The 25,614-nt window shown below is 35.6% G+C and overlaps 1 protein-coding gene across 16 annotated transcripts in view, besides 1 other annotated feature; it reads left to right on the top strand.

The window, feature by feature from the left end:
• Positions 1-25,614, top strand: part of VRK2 (VRK serine/threonine kinase 2) — a 252,329-nt gene that overhangs the window by 209,672 nt on the left and 17,043 nt on the right. For all 16 annotated transcript variants that reach the window (NM_001288837.2, NM_001288838.2, NM_001288836.1 and 13 more), the window contains 4 exons: positions 5,838-5,970; positions 14,545-14,665; positions 17,878-17,936; positions 22,403-22,569. In NM_001288837.2, coding sequence (NP_001275766.1) covers positions 5,838-5,970; positions 14,545-14,665; positions 17,878-17,936; positions 22,403-22,569 — 480 coding nt within the window. The remainder of the gene's footprint in view (positions 1-5,837; positions 5,971-14,544; positions 14,666-17,877; positions 17,937-22,402; positions 22,570-25,614) is intronic.
• Positions 1,502-2,003: an enhancer, noted in NCBI's record as "NANOG hESC enhancer chr2:58345900-58346401 (GRCh37/hg19 assembly coordinates)". NCBI's record gives its function as "activates a minimal SCP1, AML or CMV promoter by ChIP-STARR-seq in primed H9 embryonic stem cells {active_cell/tissue: H9 hESC(primed)}" and the evidence as "EXISTENCE:reporter gene assay evidence [ECO:0000049][PMID:30033119]".

Below are 25,614 nucleotides of genomic sequence, written 5' to 3' on the forward strand. Positions count from 1 at the left end.
AATGAGCATTAACCTTGACTATGCCTTTGGCTCCAGTCACCTTTTTAAGAGTAAATTGCTGGGCAGGTTGGGGAGGGCTAGTCACAGAAGGAAACTGTAAGCCGGACCAGGTGTGAGGAGGGGAGGCGATAAAAAGATTACAGGGTGGAGGAGCAGAGGCTGAGGAAGAATTGGGACCTAGCTTGGCCTGGTGAGGAGGGGAGAGGTCACATGGGTCTATAGAAAAGGAAGATTAGAAAGACTCAGCGACGCTTGGGGTTGGGACTGAGGGGACAGGCGGGAGGGAAAGAAGGAAGATTTGGGATGAGTTGCACTGGGCACAGAGACTAGGAAGGGACTGATGTGTAAAAGAATGCCTGGACGTCAGGCACCTCAGACCATTTGCCCCTTTTACGACAAGAATTATTTAGATCTTGTAGGATGGAAAAATTGAAAGTGCCATTTTCCGGTGTTTGGAACTACTGTCAAGTTTGTATTGGGGTCAAGCGGCATTGCAGAAGAAAATAAGACGCTTAGATTTTAGGTCAGTGAAAGTTGGAGAGGTTTTAAGTTCTTAAGAATATAGGCTAAGGGAGAAGGAGGAGGAATGTAAGGTGGAATCTTGCCCATAGTGAAGGAGGCAAGCCCAGAGAAAAGAGTAGAGACACAGAGAAGGGGTAGGGGTTCCTTGCCCTCCAGAAAAGCAGAGAAAGGGTTGGGGCATGGAAATAAGGAATTGGGGCACAGAGATAAGAGGTTGGGGAGCGGAAATAAGGGATTGGGGGTTCTTGCCCCCTAGAAAAGTGGGACTTGCTGCTAAGGGTGAAGGAGAAGGGGTTGAGGGGTACTTGCCCCTCCCCCAGAAAAGTGGGACTTGCCACTAAGGGTGAAGGAGAAGGGGTTGAGGGGTTCTTGCCCCTCCCCCAGAAAAGCAGAGAAGGGGTAGAGACAAGGAGAGAAGGGGTTGGGGTACTTGCCCCTTCCCCAGAAAAGCGGGACTTGCCGCTAAGGGTGAAGGACCAAGGCAGGTGTCCCTGCGTGGTCTGACACCTTTGAAACGTGGGTGAATAATCAGAGAGGTGTCCCTGCAATGATTAAACATCAAGGGAAGGCTGCCGTCCCAGTCCGTGACCGGCACCGGAGTTTTGGGTCCATGGATAAAACGTGTCTCCTTTGTCTCTACCAGAAAATGAAAGGAATTGAAATTAAGAGAAGGGAGAGATTGAAGTGTGGTGCCAAGATTGAAAGGAGAAAGAGGTTGAGGGATAGTGAGGGAAGCTGGAGAAGATAGTAAAAAGAGGCCGCTTACCGGATTTGAAATTGGTGAGATGTTTCTTGGGCTGGTCAGTCTGAGGACCTGAGGTCGTAGGTGGATCTTTCTCATGGAGCAAAGAGCAGGAGGACAGGGGATTGATCTCCCAAGGGAGGTCCCCCGATCCGAGTCATGGCACCAAATTTCATGTGTGTCCGTGTGAAGAGACTACCAAACAGGCTTTGTGTGAGCAGCATGGCTGTTTATTTCACCTGGGTGCAGGCGGTTGAGTCCGAAAAGAGAGTCAGCGAAGGGAGATAGGGGTGGGGCCGTTTTATAGGATTTGGGAAGGTAATGGAAAATTACAGTCAAAGGAGGTTGTTCTCTGGTGGGCAGGGGCGGGGGTCACAAGGTGCTCAGTGGGGTAGCTTCTGAGCCAGGAGAAGGAAATTCACAGGGTTAATCACTCAGTTAAGGTGGGGCAGGAACAAATCACAGTGGTGGAATGTCATCAGTTAAGGCGGGGCAGGGCCTTTTCACTTCTTTTGTGATTCTTCAGTTACTTCAGGCCATCTGGGCATATATGTGCAAGTCACAGGGGATGCGATGGCTTGGCTTGGGCTCAGAGGCCTAACAGAGACAGCGAGCAGAAGTACAGAGAGAGATCTTGGTTCTGAGGCTTATTTCTGAGGCCTTTCAGTTTCCTTTAATTTAAAGTTCTGGCTGGGCGCAGTGGCTCACGCCTGTAATCCCAGCACTTTGGGAGACCAAGGTGGGTGGATCACTTCAGGTCAGGAGTTCGAGACCAGCCTGGCTAACATGGTGAAACCCCATCTCTACTAAAAATACAAAAAAAAAAAAAAAATTAGCCAGGCATGGGGCTGAGGCAGGAGAAACTCTGGAACTTGGGAGGCGGAGGTTGCAGTGAGCCGAGATCGCGCCACTGCACTCCAACCTGGGTGACAGAGTGAGACTCCATCTCAAAAAAAAAAAAAAAAAAGCTTTTAGCATGCCAAAGTGCTGTAATTTGGAATATTATTTTCTGAGCCCCAACAGGTCAAATTAATTTGTCAACATTTTGATTACTCGGGACAGATTAGTGACTTGACTTCTTCTTATGTATAGTTTCTACTCACCAAAGGCAGTCATTCCTAGATCTCTTTGGTAGTGCCCCATAATCTATATTTTAAAAATATATTAATATATACTAGTAACAAAACTTCCATGAGAATCTTAGAGAATATTTCGTAGAATTTTCTACAGGATATTTATATTATTTTATATTTATATTTATATTTGTATAAATATTTTGAACCGTATGCTAAGCTAGTGGATAAAAGTCCAAACTAGGAAAAAAAGGTTTATATGAAGGTTGAGGGTGGGGATGGATGGTTGTTCATTTTGCTAAAGGAGTCTCAACTCTGCTGTTTTCTTCAATAGCTTTTCGTGATTATTTGAATCCTACCTGTAACTTCCTATGAAGACCTCCAAGAACATTTCTCATTGGTTGGAAAACAGCAAGTGTTGTTGGAGAGATTTCTTTCTTAGAGTGCATGCTCCTCAAGGTTGCACCCATGCATGTTGTAAAATGTTTTTAGGTCTGAAATACTCATGGACTGAAACAGTCAGTAAATAGCTAATGTATGTCTACTTTGTATTGTTAGCTTTTTGTCTATTTTTTTTTCTTTTCTTTTTTTTTTTTTTTTTTTTTTTTGAGACAGAGTCTTGCTCTGTTGCCCAGGCTGGAGTGCAGTGGCACAATCTTCGGCTCACTCAATCTCAGCCTTTTGAGTTTAAGCAATTCTCCTGCCTCAGCTTCCTGAGTAGCTCGGATTACAAATGTGCACCACCATGCCTGGCTAATTTTTGTATTTTTAGTAGAGATGGGGTTTCACCATGTTGGCCAGGCTGGTCTTGAACTCCTGACCTCAAGTGATCTGCCTACCTTGGCCTCCCAAAGTGGTGGGATTACAAGCATGAGCCACCATGCCTGGCCAGGTTTTCATCTTTATATTAAATGTAAACCCTATACTGCCCTTCAAGGTTTGAGCAACCTAGCACAACCCAGAGGCCTGTAGCTTAGTGATGACAAAGACAGCCTTAATATTCCCCTTAGCTTGACACAACTTGACAGTCTTCTTCCTGACTGTAGGCCCCTGACGTCTCTTTTCTTAGAGCATTAACTTAAGAATACTTGAAATTAAAAATTCTTTTCTTTCCCTTTGAGATACAAGTTTTCTATCAGCCACCTGCCAGTTGTATAACCCAAGATGGTCATTCCTTTGCAGGATATTAGTCATTGTGGGAGGTAGGAGCCTTAGTACCAATTAGCAAACATAGATGGCGTGATCACATTGACCAGCCTTGCTGTAACATCCTCTGGTACTTTTCTACTGTCTCACCCCAGTGCTTTAAAACTCCCACCTTTTGTTTCACTGAAGTTTAGTTCAAACTCTCATCTATATTGCACTCGCCTCTCTCCTATTGCAGTAGTCTCGAATAAAGTCTTATGTTTTTAACTTGACTGGTACTATTGCCCTTTGACAGTGATTGAGAGTAAAAGCTCTAGAGTCAGAATTGCCATAGATTCCTGACTTCATTTTACTACACAAGCCACATAACCTCACTAAACTTCAGTTTCCAGATGAATAAAATGGAGATAAGGGGACTTACAGCATCAGCGGATGTAAGGCACTTAGCATACTGCTTGGTGCATAGTAGGCACCTCATAAAATTTAAGTCTTATTTCTTTGTGCTAGTGAGTACATAAAACAGCTTCTTGATAGCTCTTTTTTAAAATAGTAAACTATTATATTAAAATACAATTCCATTTGTGTAATTATCAGTATGTTCATTTTTCTGATATCTGCTTTGTAATGTGAAGCCTGTTTAGTTCTTGAAATAAAGACAAAAATGCATCAGACACAGTGAAAGCAAGCAACCTGTTCCATATCTGATCCTGATATGTCTAGTTAAGTTAGGGCAGAGAGATCAATTACTTCTGAGGCCATGTTAAGAAACAGCATCTGTGGGAAAGAGAGACAAACTGAAATATTTGTTTTCAGACAGCCTTGCAAGTTACTCCAACAAATGAAGAAAACTCTGTGCTGTTTATATTTTAAAGTTTAAAATATCTCTTACTGAGCCTATCCTAAAACCAAAAACTTAAACTAAAATTCAAATGCAGAATTTCCTCTTAATAGATACATTTTAAAGTGCAGATTGTATGGTAAATACTCTATTGTCTTGAAGCTGCATTATGAAATACTGCCTAAATCCCTTAATTTTAAAGAAATGTGTATGAAATGATACATTTTCCAAGTTGAAACTGCTTTCTTTTTCTGGGGAGGGGGAATGGTAACCACAGTTGGGAACTACTATTTTCTGACTACATGTCACAGTAAATGTCTAGTCAAAACACTTCTCCATTCAGTATATGGTCTGTCTGTAAAACTACTTCTCCCCCTTCCTTTTCTCTCCAAAAGTAATCTGAGGTAAATTCACTTGAATTGCTATCTGACTTTTAACAATCTGTATTCTGTTTGGAGACCCTGCTTGCAATTCTAACTGACTTAGAAAGGTAACAGTGATAATATGGATTCATATGAAAGGTCAAAAGTTCTGCATTGATGTTCCATTCATAAATACAGATAAAATAGTGGTGTTTCTTGTGTTTTGGTTGAGTCATTACCTCTTACAGTCTCTTCACTATCATTATGTTTCCTGTTAAAGGAGACTCATAACATTAGGTTTACAGTTGACCTATGACAATGCCAGGGTTAGGGGTGCTGACCCCCACTCCCCTGCACAGTCAAAAATTTGCATAATTTTAATTTTTGACTCCAAAAACGTTACTAATAGTCTACTGTTTACCAGAAGCCTTCCTGATAACATAAACAATCGAGTAATACATATTCTATAGTTACATGTATTATACATACCGTATTCTTACAATAAAGTAAGCTAAAGAAAAGAAAATGTTAAGAAAATCATAAGGAAGAGAAAATATATTTACTGTTTATTAAGTGGAAGTGGATCATCATGAAGGTCTTCATCGTCTTCACGTTGAGTACGCTGAGGAAGGAGGGGTTGGTCTTGCCATCTCAGGTATGGCAGAAGCAGCACAAAATCCACATATAAGTGGACCTGTGCAGTTCAAACCCATGTTGTTCAAGAATCAACTTTATCTTTTTAGAATGTTTGCTCTTATCTCCCCTTCCTGCTTGAAATAGTTTTATGTTTCAGGGAGGGGTTACAGGAAAAAGCAGAGCCTCCTCAACTGTGTGAATACAGATAAAAAGACATATTGTGGTTTATGATGTCTAGATGCCCACCTGGAGGGAAGGGAATTTAGGAGCAAAATAAAAAGATTAAAAATCTAAGTCAACTCAGAAATAAGATATGCCAATGATGAAGAAAGGATTTAAGTTGGAAAGTTAGTTGTTATGGCCCCCAGTTGTACATATTTTATCCTAAGGCACCATTTGGTTTAATAAAATGTAGATCTGAGGCTGTTCTTAACCTATCAGTTTCTTAAGACTTAATTATAAAGGTTATGTTTTCAGAGGACAAAGGCATTATTCATTTGTCTGTGCTTGTCTTCCAGGTTTATCTTGCAGATTATGGACTTTCCTACAGATATTGTCCCAATGGGAACCACAAACAGTATCAGGAAAATCCTAGAAAAGGCCATAATGGGACAATAGAGTTTACCAGCTTGGATGCCCACAAGGGAGTAGGTGGGTTTCTTTTTTCTTTTTCTTATTTTTATTTCAGAAGAATGATTAGAGACAAGGGTAATGAGGCTGCATGAAATGACCTTTGCATAGTCAGTTTGAAGCATAAGAGCACTGGTGAGGTTTTTATCAAAAGTAATGAATTCCTGTTATGCCAATGAATATTTCTTCTAACAGTGGAAAGAAATTTAGACTGTGACAAGTGGTGAAGGAGCAAAAGTGTGTCAAGTAAGCAAAACTTGCTGCTCATTTTAGCCAGAAAGCCACAGTTTGTATAGGTAAAACTTGGAGGTCAGCAGTGAATGTTTATACTGAAGTGAATATTACAGATTTGGTAAAGTTGCATGTGGGCCAGGTGCAGTGGCTCACACCTATAATCCCAGCACTTTGGGAGGCTGAGGCAGGAGGATCGCTTGAGTCTAGGAGTTCAAGACCAGTTTGGGCAACATGGTGAAACCCCATCTCTACAAAAAAATACAAAAGGGTTGGCACTTGCCTGTAGTCCCAGCTGCTTGTGAGGCTGAGGTGGGAGGAGGATCACTTGAGCCAAGGAGGTTGAGGCTGCAGTGAGCCATAATCACACCACTGCTCCCCAACCTGGGCGACAGAGCAAGACCCCTCAGAAAAAAAAAAAAAAGTTGCACATACGAACAATTATTCCTGTTTTTCCATTGTACCTTTACCAAAGCTTTAGAAGATACATCTCTCAGCAGTAAGGTTATTTTTTCTGAAACCATAAAGTGTTAATTTGTGGAAATCTCTCCCAGTCGCCTTTCATATATCTTACTTATTTAAACTCACTTTGATGGTATTGGAAACACATTTGCAGGTAAATTACATACATAGTCCTTTTATTGGATATTGATTGTACTGCCTTGCATTCCAAGGCAGACTTAATTCAACAATTCCCTAATTAGTTAAAGTCATAACCTATGTCTTGTATTCATTTACCATTAATTAAACCTTAGCTGTTTATTACACTGCAGTCCAAATCCAATAGCCGACCCAGAAAGCCATGGAAAAGGAAGTAGGAGGTCAATATTGAAAATATATGGTGCCGAGTCCCACTGATGGTTGCTTTGTTCACAATCAATATGGTCAATGCAACTGTACTTTCTTAGTTGCTCTGTCAGCAACACAAAAAGTCAATTCTAATGTTATGCTAGTGAAAAAATGGTGATTATTGAAAAACTTTGGCTTTCAAAATTATATTCTTTGTAAACTTTGTTTATAAAAGTATTTTCAAATATGCTAAACCAAACAATTTTTAAACAGTTTTGAAAGGACCACATTTTTACTAAAAGACAATTAGATATTTGCACTTCTTAATGGTTGTTGAACTGTTACCCTAAACTGATGCCTTCTAACAAGTTTTAGTTGGTGAAGACAACTGTATATTATTGCCTTTTCTATTAAAAGGACCATTGACCATGTAATGTAGAGGGTCTTGATCATTTTGCAGGGCATTAAAACCCATACTAGCTTAAGGTAGGCCAATGCAAAAGTAAAACAAGTATAACTTCTTCCTTTCAGAAAGATTCATAGGCTTGATTTTCTGAAACGGAAATTATCTTTTATATTCCTGATCAAAGTAAAAGAAATGACTACATTTTTTTTCAAGTATAGTTTGGTTAGAAAAGTAATAATCAGTAAGAAATTTTGTAGTGTTGTGTGATTTTTCAGTATTCATATTGTTAATAAATTAGTGAGAATTTAAAGATAATATGGGACGTATCTTACATTAAGAAATGAGAATTAAATGCTCAAGAAATGTAAGAATTAAATATTTTATTCTGTTACACCTAATAGAATTTTTAGAAACAGTAAGTACTTTTTTGATAATGGTATAACTGGAAATTCATCATACAGGTTCTTAAGCATTGGCCCAGTTATATTAATAATGATACCAACTTATGTTTGAGTCATTTATTTCAACTGGTAGCTCTAAACTGCTCTGATCTAGTTTTGAGTAGTGGAATTGCTAAGAAATCACTGTGATTGTGGAAAGAGAAGTAGAGTTTTTTTGTGTTGGTATGGTCAGTGTTTGGACTGTGGTAAATCTGAAAGACCTATTCAATTAATTTCATTGTTTAGGGTGTCGTTTTCATTGTGTTGTCTTCTTGAAAGATTTGAACACATTTTTATTTTTTAGTCTACTTATATTTTTTATTCTAAAATCTTAATACATGTTGAATATGTTGGTAAGATTTCACCACCCTCGGTCTTTGGGGAGAAGACTGAACTGAGAATGATCACAGAATGATCACAGAAAGATGGTGTTACATCCCTGGGGGAGGTATATTCAGGGAAGAACCTACATTAAATATTTTTGGGATTTGCTGAAAAGTTATATGATAGAATGAACATTCATTTTTATCAAAGGTTTTACCAGATTCTTATAAAATAGTAGATTTCCTTAATGCATTTTAAATAGGATTTACACTAAAATTCTAGGCATATTGATATATATATATGTAGATACAGATATAAATATAGATATACACATTACATATATATGCACATATGTACACATATATACACACATATATAGATATATACACCCACATATATATTTGCTGACATTTTAATGTGAAGTTTTAGTCTGGGATATAAAATGGAATGTATGACATCCTCAAATGTCTGAATACTGTTCACTCCTATGTTTTACATTTAATTTTCCAAAGCAAAACATTTCAGTTGAGGATTTTATTAGAAAATAAATAATCATTTAGCCATATCTAGAAACCAGAATAAACAATGCCATAAAGCCTATAGGAAAATGCAGGTCAGATTCATAAATATTCATGTGTTTACTTTCAGTACAGCCACTATGTAATCTCAGAAAAATCTTTTTTTCAGTCCAACTATGAGATCAAATACTGAGGAAAAATAGTGCAAAATAAAGTACAAAAAGCAAAAAAAAAAAAGTCACTAGGATATAGAACTTCTAGGTGCCAGAGCATTTGCCAAGTGTCAGGTCTATTTCTTGGTCAGGCCAAGAGACCTGAAGAGAAATACTCAAGCTTCAATGTAAAACTGACTTATGAGTTAGCCACTCAATAGAGACTGCTATTAGCCTGATCAGACTGTCTGTTCTGTGCTACTTTTTGTAGCAGGTTATTTAAAAACTCAAGCTAAATCTCATTTTTCTATGGATTGAGTTTTTATAATGAAGGAACTTGTATAAGCTGCCATTCAGTCATTACATCTAAGCATTTTCTAATTCAAATTTACATAAAAGGAGAGTAGTTGAAAGGGAAAAAAATTAGCTATTATGTTATTACCAAAAGATATGCATGGAGATGTATCGTGATGGATGGACAGATGGATGAATGGATGGATAACTATTCCTAGAACTCCTGTACATCTGCATATCTGTATGTTTTTTTAAAAATTGTGTTTATTCTTCCAAACTCAATTCTCTTGTGTGACCTACAGGTATTTTGTAAGTGGCTAAAGTGCATCATTTAGTATAAAATTAGAGTAATATATGTTGGGCTTATTTCTTCTATAATTTTTTTATTCTTTATAAAAACTAACATGTATAAACACTGACATATTTTGGGCTTATTGTCTGATAATTAAAGAGAATTATATTTGTGTCAAATATAGTATTTTAAAATTGGTTACATTCTTAGTAATGTTAAAAAGCAATATTTGAATCAATGTGTGGTATAGATTTTTGTAGATTTTTCTACTCACTGAGGCATGCAGTCAATACCTAATTTCTCTAGAGATATACTGCATTTAACATATTGAGCTTTTTTAAATACTTCAGACCTGTGCATTGAGTCTGTAATACCTATCTTAATTTGACATCTTTGATGACCATAAAATATGATATCTAAATTGTATTTTAAATGTCCATTTATCTAATATGTTTAGTATCAAAGAAATAAATATATTGCATACTTTTTTTTAATTTTTGCCAATTGCTACGGTATGTGAAATCCAAGTCTTGTGTTATTTCTTTCATGGTTTCATTTCACTCTAATCTAGCACTCCAACTTACAAAATATATGTGAAATAAACTGAGAATGTATTTTCGTGCTACCAAACTTGGGGAAATGACATGGTTTACGCAATACTTATGTCTTGGCCTTTTGATTGGGTTAAGAATACTTACATTGGCCAAGTCTAAGATACATTTGCTCTATTGAATGACTTTTCCTAAGTTTCACACACACAAAACTAGGGCTTAATTTAAAAGGTACTGAAAAAATAAGAGAGGCCTGGGTTTAATATTTTATCTGAAATATGACACATTGCATCCTAATATTTCCTGATATCCTTTTTGAAATTGCAGTAAGTCATGGTCACCATAAAATATTCTGGATCTTTATACATCAGAATTGACAAAATACTGAATTACATAGGTTACCAGTTGGAAAACTAAGAATAGACTTTAAATTTGTTCTGCAGATAGTCACCATTCACTTTGTCAGGTGAACATCTTATTCAGATGTTTTCTGCTTTCTTATTGTCTTTCTGAGCACACATATTAATATTTTGGGCATTTGAACTCTGCTTGATGCAGAAATTTTCAAGTTCACTTCATTATTTCCTACCGAACCCTGTTTTTCTTCATACTCCATAATGTTACTCGGTATAAGAAATAAACAGAAAACACTTTAGGCAAACAGGGAGATAAATCTTGGAATTAATACTTAGACTTTTCTTTTTCTCCCAATTCCTCTTTCAGTCCATTTGGTGAATTGGGCTAGTTAATTTTATTCCAGTTTGTCTTTAAACCAAGGACTAGTTCGCTAAGATAACTTATCTGTTGTTCTTATACCAGTTTAGAAGGACCGTTTGTCACTTTATAATTAAATATTTTAACTAAAGATCCTTCTTTATTGGAATGAAATAACTTGAAAGAAATAGTTTCATGAAAGGATAGTAACATGAAAAATTTGGTCAGTGCTGCAGCTTAGATATCCAGATCTTCCACTCATTTATTCCTTGCCAAAACAACTATTTTTGTGTCAGTATGTCTTGGTGCTTTAAGTTTAAATGCCTGCTTCAAATACCTTCCTCACTATGGAAGTCCTGTGTGTAATGTTGTTTGAATGGTATTAAAACTAATGATGGAGGCAAAGTAATTATTATTTTTTTTTCTGAGATGGAGTCTCGCTCTGTTGTCCAGGCTGGAGGACAGTGGTGCTATCTCGGCTCACCACAACCTCCACTTCCTGGGTTCAAGCAATTCTCCTGCCTCTGCCTCCTGAGTAGCTGGGATTACAGGTGTGTGCCACAAAGCCCCGCTAATTTTTGTATTTTTAGTAGAGATGGGGTTTCGCCATGTTGGCCGGGCTGGTCTTAAACTCTTGACCTCAGGTGATCTGCCCACCTCAGCCTCCCAAAGTACTGGGATTACAGGTATGAGCCACCGCGCCTGGCAACAAAGTAATTGCAAGATTGAGCACGGGCTTTGGTTTTTGAAAGACTTGGATTTCAGTGCTGAGCTCTATTAATTTTTGCTCTGTGATATTGACCAAATTATTTAACCTCTCTGAGACTCCATATTGTTACTTGTCAATAGGGCTAATACTTACTTTAAATTGTTTGAAAGATGAGATGAAATAATAAAAAGCAGGTAGAGTGCCAGGCATAGTAGCGGCTCTCCATAAATCACATCAATTGTTTTTATTTTAATTATGCGTTCTACTATCAGCCATTTCTAAAATTTTCTTTCTAGTTAAATAGAATTTAAATCCTCACCTGTGCCTATTTCTTTCTAATTGTTTTTACTTTGGCAATACTTTATAATTTAGAAATGTAGAACATTTGAGAATACCACAGGCTTTCAACAAAAAGAGTGATGTATATTACTGCATATTGGTAAGCTCAATATAAGTTAGATGCTATTAATAATATTTAGAAACTAACTTGAGAAAGTTTAGAAATCTAAACTAAATCTCATTACAGTTCCAAGCAATAATAAGTAAACACTTCATTTTAGGACATCTGCATGAAAATATACTGTCCATAATTACATTAATTACCAAATGCCACTGAAGAACCCTATGTATTACAATAAATTGTGCAAATACATGACTCAGAAACAAAACAGTGCATAATGTATTTTCTATTCAAATGAATGAAAATATATTAAAAAGAAATACATTGCACAGTATCATCTGATTTTAGAGCTGAAAATGTAAAATATTAGTGGCAGGGATAGAATTGGATCTCATTCCTAGTCCAGAGCTCTATTTACTGCTTCACTTAATATGTTTTAAAATGAATTTGAAAATTGTATAATTAAAGAAGCAACTTTCAAATTAAAAAAAAATTTTTATAGTTAGACATTAATAGTCTCAGACTATAATCAATTCTTTGTGTAAACTATACATGCATACATAGATTTTAATATTGTCATCTAGAACATTTGTTTTTAATTAATTTAACAGGTATTAAAATTACTCCTCTGTGTACAGTAGATGGAAAGAAGACAATCATTGGCAAAGTCTAAGATTTTAACTTCACTAAACATTCAAACTTTTCAATTTGCTTTTCTGAGAGGGAATTTCAGGTAGAGGTATGTAGTCAGAAACATTTTTAGTCACTCTTCAGTGTGGGGAAAGGAAAGGGTGACTATTGGGTGTTCTTTTTATCACTGCATGCATTTATGCAGGACTTATCAGAAACAGTGGCAAAACATTCACCTAACGGTAGTTATTAATACCGATGTGCAAAAAAGAAAATAAAAGATTGAAAAATGTGATAATGTATTTTAATTAGGTAAGACCAAACTATAATAGTGAAGTAAAGTTAACTCTCAAAGGGCTATTTCAAATGAAGACCAGTTTATGAAAGATTGGCTTCAGAAATCTAAATGACTTGTCATTACTTACAGCTTCATATCAATTAATCCCTCAATTGGGGGGTAGGGGGAAATGGCTAGGAAGGTTCAATCTATTTTAATTCTGATTATTTTTCCTCAAAGGGCCTCTTGTGTGTAGCTTATATCATCCAAACACTGTGCCAGAATATCATTTTTTGAAAATTAGAGGATATGAGATTTTTTAAGTGATGGTAATCAGGAATTGCCATAATAGAAAGGAGACTTGTGAACACATCTGTACAAGTGGAACCATTCCATTATTAATGGGAGATTTATTACTGAAGAAATCACTACAGAACACTGTGGTAGAGATTGTGTTTTTATTTTAATATGAGAGCCAAGTCTTGCATTAGGACATTGTTGAAGCTTGTGCAGAAAGTAAATGGCACCCATGGGACTGTAGCATTCTGCTAGATTGAAGGGCCTTTAATAATCCAATACGCTAATAGCAGTTAGAGTGTAAGAGCTAATCATGTCTTCTGCTTTTATAATAACTTATACATGGTAACCAAAAGTAGTTACGATGTGTTGGCATCATTGTTCTTAGTAGATGACTTTTTAAATTAAAAACTAAGTTCACTGAGTAACTTTTCAGAGTTTATTTCATGAAAGATAATAAAATAGGATACCTGTTTATAGCAGGTTTAACAGCCACTTACTGCTCTTAGGAGATTATATATCCCTACACAGATGAACATTCGAGTAATGACAGAAATGTAAATACCAGCCTATTGTTTTATAACAATTTTGAATGACTACAAAAATGAGTTTATTTTACGGGTATTTGCTGATGTTTTAATAATTATTTCAGTGGTTTGTTAATATGTATCAGTTATATTTCATACATTTCCTAGGTTTCATTGTCCATCTTCTTATATAAGGTACTTATAAATATATATAAATTATGAAATTAGACTACAGCATTTAATAGGTTGATATAAAATGATACAAGGGCCTGAAAATGTGCTTTTAACGTACTTTTTAGGAAAAGGCATCTTATTCTAAATTTTGAAGGCCTCTATTTGGCTCTCCCCCCAGCCTCTGATACCATTGCCTCCGTTTTATATAGATATGGGACCAGAATTTTAGCCTGCTGCTGCTTATATCTAAAAATAATATTTGTAAAATTATCCAAAGCAGTAGATATATTTTTATTGTATTTTCATGTGATTGAAAAATCTTCAGAAAGACCCTTTTTTTAATACTGCACACTAGATGGCAGTTTTGTCATATTCTTCCAACTTCAAATGCTGCTAGTGTGAGTGGAACAGGAAAGGCCATCAATGTTTAGTCTGCACTCAGAGGGTCTCTGCATGACCAATGCAGACCCTATGGACTTCCTGGAACATATGTTAGTAATTTAGCTGCAGACATTTATTTCTTTGTTTTACTGCTTGGCTCTTTGAGAAAGTGTTGGTGCTGGGTTATGGGTTGTCTGGATCATGTCAGAGGCCATGGGGATCAAGTTCATGTGACAGGCCAGACTAAGGAAAGATGAAGTTGGAGGAGGTGAGGAAACTGACCCTTACTTTCAACAGCAACCAGTCACTGCCTGTCTGTGGACTGGGGCCAAATGCTTGGGCGTTTAAGTTTTATTCCAGCTGAACAAATAAAACATTTTGCCTATTTGGCTTTTTCATATTTCATCAGTAGTAGTTCAACCAAAGATTTCTCCATTTCTCAAGGACTTGCTTATCCCTTATCTTTCTCTCTAATGCTTACTCCTATAGCCTTGTCCAGACGAAGTGACGTTGAGATCCTCGGCTACTGCATGCTGCGGTGGTTGTGTGGGAAACTTCCCTGGGAACAGAACCTGAAGGACCCTGTGGCTGTGCAGACTGCTAAAACAAAGTACAAATTTTCAAGTATTTCATCATGTACTGCACCAGGTCTGAAGGGATACATTAAAGGGAGCTAACAACACAGAGAAGATTGGCATTCACCCAACATGACAACCAAAGCAAATTTCTTTAGTTTGAAAAATATGTTTTAAAAAAACCAAACAACTAACACATAAAATCCATTAAGGTAACATTGTAAAAAGACATGTATTTGAATTACAGTGCAAAATATAAAGTGAAATATCTGTTCTTTTACATGGTATTTCCAAAGCTTAGATTCTAGGTGGTAGTGTTTTCAAGGAAGAATATTTTCAAATTAGCATTGTACAAGTATGTTGAAGTAGTCTGAGCTTGGTACGATTGATATTAACTGTGTAAAACAGCACTATGAAATGGGACAAATAGGGCTTATATTTTTCAAGTGAGAGCAACATACCTCTTATTTCTGTCTTGGAGGAAGTATGTTTTCTTTCTTAAGAAACAAAATTTTTACATGAGCTATTTATATGAGATAATCTTGTAGCCACATAAACATTTTTAATATTCTACATTCAGTTTTTATTACCTGGATTCGGCTAGCATAAAAATTAGGTCAGACTAAGAACAGGGTGTGTTACTGTTTTACAATTCTCTCACTGATCAGGCCTAAGAAAAAGTCAATTGCATAGAGCACAGAATAGCCAGTTTTTCATTATATACCAAGATATGCTCAACAGTAGTTATCCACAGGTAGCAAAAGCAGCAGCTAAGCTAAGTTTTAAGTAGGAAAATCACAACAGAAGAGTACAAAGCCAGGGGAAAATTAGCTGATTCATAGAAATCTATCTTTAAATTCAGTGTGGCATCAGTTCTTAATACTGAGAAAGATTAGCCTGCAGATTCAGAAAAATACATATTACATTTGTAAATACTGACATATATGAAACATTTCTCCACTCAGAATTTTGATCATCCTAGTCCCTTACCCAAAACTAAAACATTTATATAAATCTATATTAGAACTAAATCAGTTATTTACTGCAGTGATTGATGTGTCCATATTAACTTTCATGTAACATTTCGAAATATGGGTCAAGTCAAAACACAGTGATGTATAAACAGTTTTTGTATTTAATTTTCCAACTAGTTTACCTAATTAGAATACTGTAATAAAGTAATGATGCTATTTTAAAAAACTAACATTTTAATTCTAATGATTATATATTTGTTTTTTGATAAGACTAATATGACTTGCTTTAACTTTTTATCAATATGCATATACAGATACATTCATTATAGGTATCTATAATGAATATACCTGCTTATGCATATTTATAATAGGATGTCATATAAAATTATTATTTTACATGTATAATGCTAATAAATCAAGCATAACTTCTATTTACATTTTGGGGACTCTTACATATGTTAATATCTTCATTTTGACTTGATTAATAATGTAAACCTATAGACTAGTAAAGCCAATATCATATTATGAAGTTTATAATTCAGATAAACCATAGACATTTTCAAACTTATTATAGTACATAATACATAATCATAATTTATTCAACTTGCTGAGAAGGTATGACACTGAAATTCCCCATAAGGGTGTGATTGTATATTCAGCCAAGACACTGTATCTCCCTTATGCCTTTTATTTTCCTGACATAGCATGCTGCTGGATCAATGTGTGTATTGTTGCTACTCTGCCTATGCCAGAGGTGGTGACTCACTCACACATATAAATAATTTTAGTTGAATGTTTTTATAGGTTGTGTATTCCTTACTTGAAAGGCTTGGGACCAGAAGTGTTGCAGATTTCAGATATTTTTAGATTTTGGAATATTTGCATTATACTTACCAGTTGAGCATCCCACAAACCTGTTTAATCATGGGACAGCATAAAATATTGCCCAGTGGAGAACAATGCACATATATACTTAGATACAATGTTTGCGTGAATTTTTTATTGTTGTTTTTGAGAAAAAAAATCATGGTAAATATTACTACTTCTGTGTTTCTGCATACATAAACTTTGAGTTAAAGCATTTATATTATAATTCCTGTAATTCCATCTTGTTTAGTATTGGGGCCCAGAGAGCAATACCCCAAAGTGTGATGCTTTGGCATGCTGAGACCTTTGAACTGAAAGAGACTGGATGGCCCCAGAAGCCACCTCAGAAGCCAAGTCTCACTCTGACCTTCTCCTGCCCTCTTGTTTCCCATCCCTTCTCCTCCCAAGAAGAGAGTCATAGAAACCAGAATTCCTCTTCCCCAAAGCGGGTTATAGAAACTAGAACCCCTGTACCCCAAGCAAGGCATTAAACTTAGGAAGGTCACCCTCTCCCTTCTCCCTTTAAGACCCTCATTCCAAAGGGGTCCTGCCCCATCCCCAGGAGGAATAAATGCTACATACATCAAGAATATGGGGCCGGGCGCGGTGGCTCACGCCTGTAATCCCAGCACTTTGGGAGGCCGAGGCGGGTGGATCATGAGGTCAGGAGATCGAGACCATCCTGGCTAACAAGGTGAAACCCCGTCTCTACTAAAAATACAAAAAATTAGCCGGGCGCGGTGGCGGGCGCCTGTAGTCCCAGCTACTCGGGAGGCTGAGGCAGGAGAATGGCGTGAACCCGGGAAGCGGAGCTTGCAGTGAGCCGAGATTGCGCCACTGCAGTCCGCAGTCCGGCCTGGGCGACAGAGCGAGACTCCGTCTCAAAAAAAAAAAAAAAAAAAAGAATATGGACAGGCTTTGCTGGATCCCCCCGCCCCAGTTCAGTACCATTAGAACATACCCTTTTGTCCAGTCACATTCCTACACAGCTGTCTATTCTTCATCAAACCTAAGCATAAAGATAGACTTCCTTGGGTCTTTGGTCTTCATTTCTCAAGTCGTGTCATATAAAACTTTAATTAAATAAATTTGTTATACTTTCTCCTGTTAACTGGTCTTTTGTTATAGGAATGTTGGCTGCAACCCTTATGGTGGGTGAGAAAAGAGATCACACCTTTCTGCCCCTACGTTAGTCTAGGTTATTGATATAAAATTAGTTTGTGGGCATTGAGGGTTCTCCTCTACTTCTGCTTACTTTCCTATCCATTATAGTTGGGTGACAAAAAAAAAAGCATTGAAAGTCACAATTTTGGTGACCTACCAACACATAGAGTGTTTTGTTTTCTAGTCAAAATAATCACAGGGTTGAAAACATGTTCATTGTGCATTACCTTATTTTGTTTTAGTCTGTTGGACGAGCTCCCCCAGTCAGTGCTTAAATGGGCTCCTTCTGGAAGCAGTTGCTGTAAGTCAAATAATAACTTCAACCTTCTCTTACGATTTACAGGTTGCCACATTTGTCGTTATCGTTTGGTAGCTTTTGCTTAACCCACTTGCTCCTATTCCCATCAGGGTGGGAAGGAGGGAACTCTTCATGTTGCAAATAAGTTGCTAAAGAACACAATGTTTAAATCATCTTTAACATTAGAACACAAAAAACCTCAAAAGAAGATATTGAGGTGGAAAATTCTAGGTTCTGCTTAGTGCTTTTTTTTTTTTTTTTAAGATCTCTATTTTGAGAATCATGCACAGGCTTAATAGTCAACCGTATCTGGTATTTCTAGAGTTAAGACTTCCTGGTTTTGTTCCTCTATATATTGTTGAAAGAAGATAAAGTTGACCTAAGGAAAAACTACTTTTCATCAGTCATTTAAAAAACCAAATCAGTAAACACTGAATGCTGTTTAGACCAGAATTATGCTGACTGAACTGCCAGCAAAAAAAAATTTTTATTAGCAAAGGCATATGATTTTGGGATTTGGAGGTATATTTCATATTTTCAAGTTAGTATACAATGGAATTTTTAATTGACAATGTTATCAATACATATTGTATAAAATAGCACGTCAACTAGTAATTACCCACATTCCTGTCATTTTATGTGCATACACAACATGTTATTCAACACTAATTTAACAATTGAGTTAGACTGTCTTATACGAAAAAGCCAGTGCCCACTATCAGTCTTGCTTTTTTTCAGAGACAGATAATCAGAGTGAATCTTGTTTTCTGTTTACACTGGACAATCTCAAAGTTAGCTTTGAGCTGACTTCTGAAAGTAGATATGTACACTGACCTCTCTAGCTAAGGTCTAATAGCATCTGTTTCCATCTGGTTGAGAATTAGAGAGTTAAGTCATCTTAAACTTACATTCACAGCCTTTCTTTCACTGGAAACCAAAATTTTCATTTGTGGAGGAAAGGAAAGAATAAGCCAGTTCTACTTCCCCTCTCCATTTGCAAGTCCAATAAGCCTATCCCCACATGAGTCTTTTGTTTTCCCCTTTCTCTAGTACTTTTCATCGGATTGAGGGAGCCACACAGGAGAGATCCTCATTGTGGGAATGGGTTGCAAGATGAAATTTTTGTTTTCATAATTGTCAATAACTTGGTCAAAATGGCAGTACTCCTTTATGGCTAATATTCTTAATGGCATTTTTTTTTTTTTTGAGACAGAGTCTCGCTCTGTCACCCAGGCTGGAGTGCAGTGGCACGATCTCGGCTCAGTGCAACCTCCCCTTCCTAGGTTCAAGCGATTCTTCTGCCTCAGCTTCCCAAGTAGCTGTGACTACAGACACGTGCCACGATGCCCAGCTACTTTTTGTATTTTTAGTAGAGACAGGGTTTCACCATATTGGCCAGGCCTGGTCTCAAACTCCTGACCTCGTGATCCCCCCCACCTTGCCCTCCCAAAGTGCTGGGATTACAGGTGTGGGCCACTGCGCCTGGCCCTTATTGGCACTTTTACCAAGTTGTATAGTTCATCTTTTAATCAACTGGACAGAAAGATGGGAAGATGTCATTAACATATATATATATCATATATATGTGTATATATATCATATATATGTGTATATATATCATATATGTGTGTATATATATCATATATATTATATCATATATATGTGTATATATATCATATATTATATCATATATATGTGTATATATATCATATATATATCATATATGTGTATATATCATATATATTATATATCATATATGTGTATATATATCATATATTATATATCATATATATGTGTATATATCATATATATTATATATATCTCATATGTGTATATATATCATATATAATATATATGTGTATATATCATATATCATATATAACATATATATGTGTATATATCATATATATAACATATATCATATATGTGTATATATCATATATCATATATATCATGTGTTTATATATATCATATATCATATATATCATATATGATACATATATATCTCATATATGATACATATATATCATATGATACATATATATCATATATATGATATATATGATATATATGTGTTTGTATATATATCTCTTACCTTTCTTGTCAATCCTGCAGAAAAAGGAACTGTTCAGTTTAGGGTAAGAAAGCCCAGATGCCCTGAATTGTACAAGACAAATGCTTGTGGGCAGTGTATATTATGTCATACTCTATTGTTAAAGATTTGAGTCAGATGAGTAATCTAGATGGGAGACAAGCCCAGTTTTTGTTTCTTAGCACAAACCATTTTATTGAATCCATACTATTATTTATAAAATGCAGATTTCTGTTTCTAAAGCAAAAAGTGTTGAAACTTTAATATTACATGAAGGTCTCTTAAATTAGGAGGTTGTGCTTAGGAAGAACACAACCATGAAAATGAAGGAACTGATTTACAAAAGTTTATTACCGAAACATTTTATGAAATAAAACAGCCAGAAGTTTGCAGCATACATGTCCAACTAAGCATAATAATAATAGTTTCAAAAGTTTCTATCTCTTGATAGTAATGATACTTAATACTTCACTGGCTTAAAAAGCAGATGATTAAAAAAATCATAATTTCATACTAAAGGCATTTTGCTTTATAGTTCTGGCAATATGCTAGTAAATTTTAAAATGTACTTAATAAATCCAGATCTTGAAAGACTAACATTTAAACCAGTATTACATCACAATATCTACGCTTCAGGTTTGTAATAATAAATTTATAATGGAAATGGCTCTTTTTATTTTCTCCCCCTCCTACCTCACTGGTACCTCATTTTTCCAAACCCCAGTCCCATGAAGGCTTTGCAGCACAGCTGCTATCAGTTGGTGGAGTGCCAGGAGTTTTCCATTGTCTTGTAACAGTGATTTGTTCCCAGCACATTCAACTCTCTTCCTCATTTTGGATATTCTGGTTAATGGAATTGTAATATGTACCAAACTTGGCTTACCAATCTTCACAGGACCATAAAACAAAAATATTTATATTAAAATAGTAGTGAATGTAATTTAATTTTTTAATCATCCCTTTAGAAATTGGATACCCCCGAGCCCTTGTGAAGGGGCTGCATGAAGCATCAGTTATAAATATGGTGATAAAATAGCAGCACTTGCTAGTTAACAGAGATCTGGTTGACCGAATGCTAGATAACAGAATTTGATAAAAATAGATGAAAAAAACAGGTTGCATAATTGCTACAGTGTCAAGGAAGAAAAGCCCAGAACCAAGAGTTTACATTTTAACCACGTTAGCTTCATGTTCCCAGGAAATAGCTCTGTACTATATGGTGAAAGTGGTCACTCTTAACTTTAATAGGGGGAAAGCGATGATGACTATTCCTTTTGAAATTTTTCTCTATAGGGAGTGAAACCCAGTGCCTCTGCAGTTTTCCTTTCTTTTGAGTGGAGGTAGGCCTAGAGGGGAAGTGAAGGATTAGGAAGTCACTCCTGCCAACGCATGAAGTTTCCCAGGTTTTCCCACCATGGATATAAGCAACTAAGTGAGAAAGTAAGAAGTACTTGAGTTTGAGTCAGTAATATATTTTTGAAAGGGAAAGGCATATCTAAACATCTCTGTGAACAAATGAAAACATGCCAGTTTTTAAATAGTATTTGGTATTATCACCACTTCTATTCCAATTTTAGGTTGAACCTCAACATGAAACAGAAATGCAAGCTACAAATATTTTAATGCAGTGATGTTTGTAACTGTTGGTTACTAATTCTGTTTGTATTTAAAAGTTGGTAGTTCCTAACCTTTTTGGGGAAAGGGGGTTTACTATGTAGTTCTAGGGGAACATTTCTTTACACTAGAGAAAAAATAAAAGATGGCAACTCCTCCTCCCACTGCTCTAAAATCAAAAACACGAGGCTGTGTACCAGGCTAGCTAGGTATGGAGGACATGAGGGAGGTTTCATACATTCTAAATTCAATCTTAGCTAACAACATGGAATTCAAGGTCCTTTCTAAATATACGGTTATAATCCCAAAATCAAAGCCTTAATTAAAATTTGCAGTTTTTTTCCTTAGAAATAAAGAGGTTTATAATAAGTAACACTTTAACTGAATTTTTAGAAGTTCAGCATAAAGTGTGAAGTATGGTCAGTTGTATTATTTATGTAGTCCTTAATAGTTGCACCTCATAAATCAAAATCACTATAATTATTACAATATACTTCCTCTCATAAGATCAGTGAATTATAAGCGTATCAACAAAAATATGTTAAAAACATTACTAGTTTGTCTCATCAATTCTGTAGGTCACTATATTTCAGTCATTTTTGAATATCATTTAAAAAGTTATTTTCATTGAATTGTTCATTTTTAGTTTCTTCAGGAGATGTAAATGTGTAAAAGACAAAGATAACAAAGATTTTGAGATTACTGGAGTCTTGACAATTCTTGCCAATTGTGAATGACATGTAAAAAATTTAATAATTCACAGGTGAAATAGCCCAATTTTTGGTATGTGCTCATAGTTTAGCATATGATGAAAAGCCAAACTATCAAGCCCTCAAGAAAATTTTGAACCCTCATGGAATACCTTTAGGACCACTGGACTTTTCCACAAAAGGACAGAGTATAAATGTCCATACTCCAAACAGTCAAAAAGTAAGTAACATAATCCCTGCTATCCTATGATTACCTTCTATGATACTTTTCTATCGAATGAAATTGTTTTAGGTCTCAAAATGAGTCTGACAGCTTTCTTCTTCCTTATATTTAACTCCCATTTTGCCTAACTCAGCACCAAGAAAGTTTGTTCCAAGTTCTTTTGACCTGTTGTCTCACAGAGAAAAATAGGATCTGTGGCCTACTATGTACTATGAAAGAAAGCAGTCACTACTGTCATAGAGATGTGACTAGGGTAAAGGCTAATCTGATGTTACTCATGAGAAAGCCATCATTTGCTTCTTTTCTCCAGGTTTTCTTTAGATATTGCCCTGTGTTTTTGCCTACCAATTTGGCCATAATTTGGTGATAACAGTCTTCGATTTAACCAGGTTATTTGTATGTGCTGATATTTCAATCCATGGAAACAGTTCTTTACAGAAAATAAAAGAGTTTATGCCAGAGATCTAGGTTAAAAAAAATCATTTTTTAAAAGTTACACCTCTTCTTTTAGTCTGCCATCTTCCCAAAGACCAACACCAACTTAAAAAAAAAATTAAGATTTCGAGCATTTTTAAGCGGGTGGTGGAAATCTTAGACTGCCGTTATTAGCAAGAATAGTGGACAGGCAACTCAGCATCCATGTCTTCCTTGACCACTATCCGTATGCACAAATAGAGTGTGGAGGGCATTTTTTTCCTGATGCATGTACAGTAAGATAGGGTCAGGATGCTATTCATTTTTAATATTTCTTATGAACTTTGGATCATCACACGTGTTCATGAGCCAAGAATGCGGGATGCAAACTAATGTGACTGATAGGCTGCTAGATGAATGGTGAGTCAAGTATCAGTGCACAGATGGTTCTGATTTGCTGAATTTTGTAGTTGCTGCAACTGAAGACATAAAATATCCTTCTAGTCATAAATTAGCTCTTTGGAAGCAAAACCTTGGCACCAGAGCTTTACAACCTTCAATTAGTAGGAAAAGAAGTATTTGAATGACTGTGGTATTGACATCTGTAGGCCTGCATAGTAATCATTCCTAATAGAAGAGAATATCTGTTTGAGGAGGTTTTGCATGGCTAATTAACTACCAGTGAGAATATGTAATTTTTTCATGATCTCCTGATTGTCACCTTTCTCTCATGATACAATTAGATTTTATTGTAGCAAGTGCCTCACAAACCAATTGTCAGCACTATTTACGTATTGCAGAAGGCAGAACAAGAGTTCATGTTTAATAAAAAGCCACTGGATTTTGATCTTGGTAATTACTGAGACTTGTTTTAACAGTTTTATTGACTTTTGTGTTTTTATCACTTTTGCAACAAAACAAAGAGCCATTTCCTTGACGTAGTATTTTCGTTGCAATAATGGTCACCACTTAATCTATGCTAATTTAAGTAGATTTTTCCCTTTTTGTAGTTTTTCAGTTTCATAAACTTAATTGAAATATAAAAGAAGCCATTTTAAAAACTGATAGCTATATCCTCTGATATAAAATTCTGATTATTATCCACCAGAATTTTCAGTTTCATCAAATTAAAGGGTGTTTGTTGTGAAACCATTTTTATATGTAGAGAATAGAACATAAAACACTTTTTCCAATGAGCCTCCATCAAGAATATTTTATCCCTTTTGATTATTTTGATTATGAGTAAAAAAAGCACTTAAAAATAATACATGCTTTTAAGACCTACGCTAATTTCTGTTAAGAAATGTATGTGATCAGCCTGGATGTATAGACAGTAAGATGATTTGGGGATATATTTTGCAGCAGATCAATATTTATTTATTTATTATAGTATTTTAAGTGCATACATATATTTAATAATGATAGCATAAGATATGGGCTCACCATATGTGGCTAAACTTTAAGTATCTTAATTTTCAAAGTTTACAGATTTTGCAGTGCTACAAAAACCAAACCTGAAAATGTTCAAATGCAAGGTATGACAGTATAAACCGTCCTGTTCCCAGTTCCCCTGAATGATGCACGTATAGGATGATTTCCACAATAGATTGCTTCCATAACAAAAATCATTCCAAAATGCATATCAATCACATGGCTCCAAATTTCTTTTTAGTCACAGACAGAATGCTCTTATTAGTAACTAAAATCGTTTCTTGTTACTTTATAAATGGGTTTATAGTTATATGTAGTTAAGTATTTAGTTATAGAGCTGTTTAACAGAGTAGTGAATGAATTCTGGACTAATACATTTTTTGGACAAAGATATTTTAAAAGAAGACATTGGACCAGAAAAGGTATACATAAATAAATAAAATGTTACCATCATTCAGTATTCAAGGGAAAAAAGTTGTAACTGTTTACATTTTTAAATGTTATTTTGCTAATAACAAATGAAACTTATACAGAGGGAAGTAACAGTATTTTTAAGAAAAACATATTTTGATTAGGTATTAGAAGGTAGCACATTACCCTAAGAATCTCACCAAACTTACATCACCTTTTTGCAAAAGAAAAAGTTTTTTTTTTTTTTCCAATACTGGATTTTACTAGACATTATAAACTGTTCTCTGTAAACCTGGACAGAGAATTCCTCAAATATTGTTATTGGAGTTAAATTGGAAATGAATTTTTGTCAAGAGAGTAGTGATATTGATATTTTTTTCATGAAAAACAAATCTTTTGGGGTATTTGCCTGAATCAAAATGAGGGATGTAAAACTGAAGTCACTTGCTAGTAGTTCTGGGGGCTCCTGAGTTAGCACCGCCAATCAAATTAGAAGACTGTCTCATCAAGACCATCACAGTCTCTTTATGCCACCCACTAGGATTTAATTTCCAAAATTCACTGAAAGAAACAATATTTCAATAAGAATGCTTATTGAGGTGAGCTAAAGCTCTAGAATTCCCAGATAAGAATGTTAAAGCCAAGATGGAAAACAGCGTTACTAAAGGCCCCATTACGACCCTTGAATAAGCTATTTTTCAAGAACCAGAGGATCCTTTTAATCGTTTATCAATGACTCCCACCTTATTATGGTGCTTGAATCATATATACAATATACAGTAATAT

The sequence above is a fragment of the Homo sapiens genome, chromosome 2 (genome assembly GCF_000001405.40).
Source record: "Homo sapiens chromosome 2, GRCh38.p14 Primary Assembly".
NCBI lineage: Eukaryota > Metazoa > Chordata > Mammalia > Primates > Hominidae > Homo > Homo sapiens.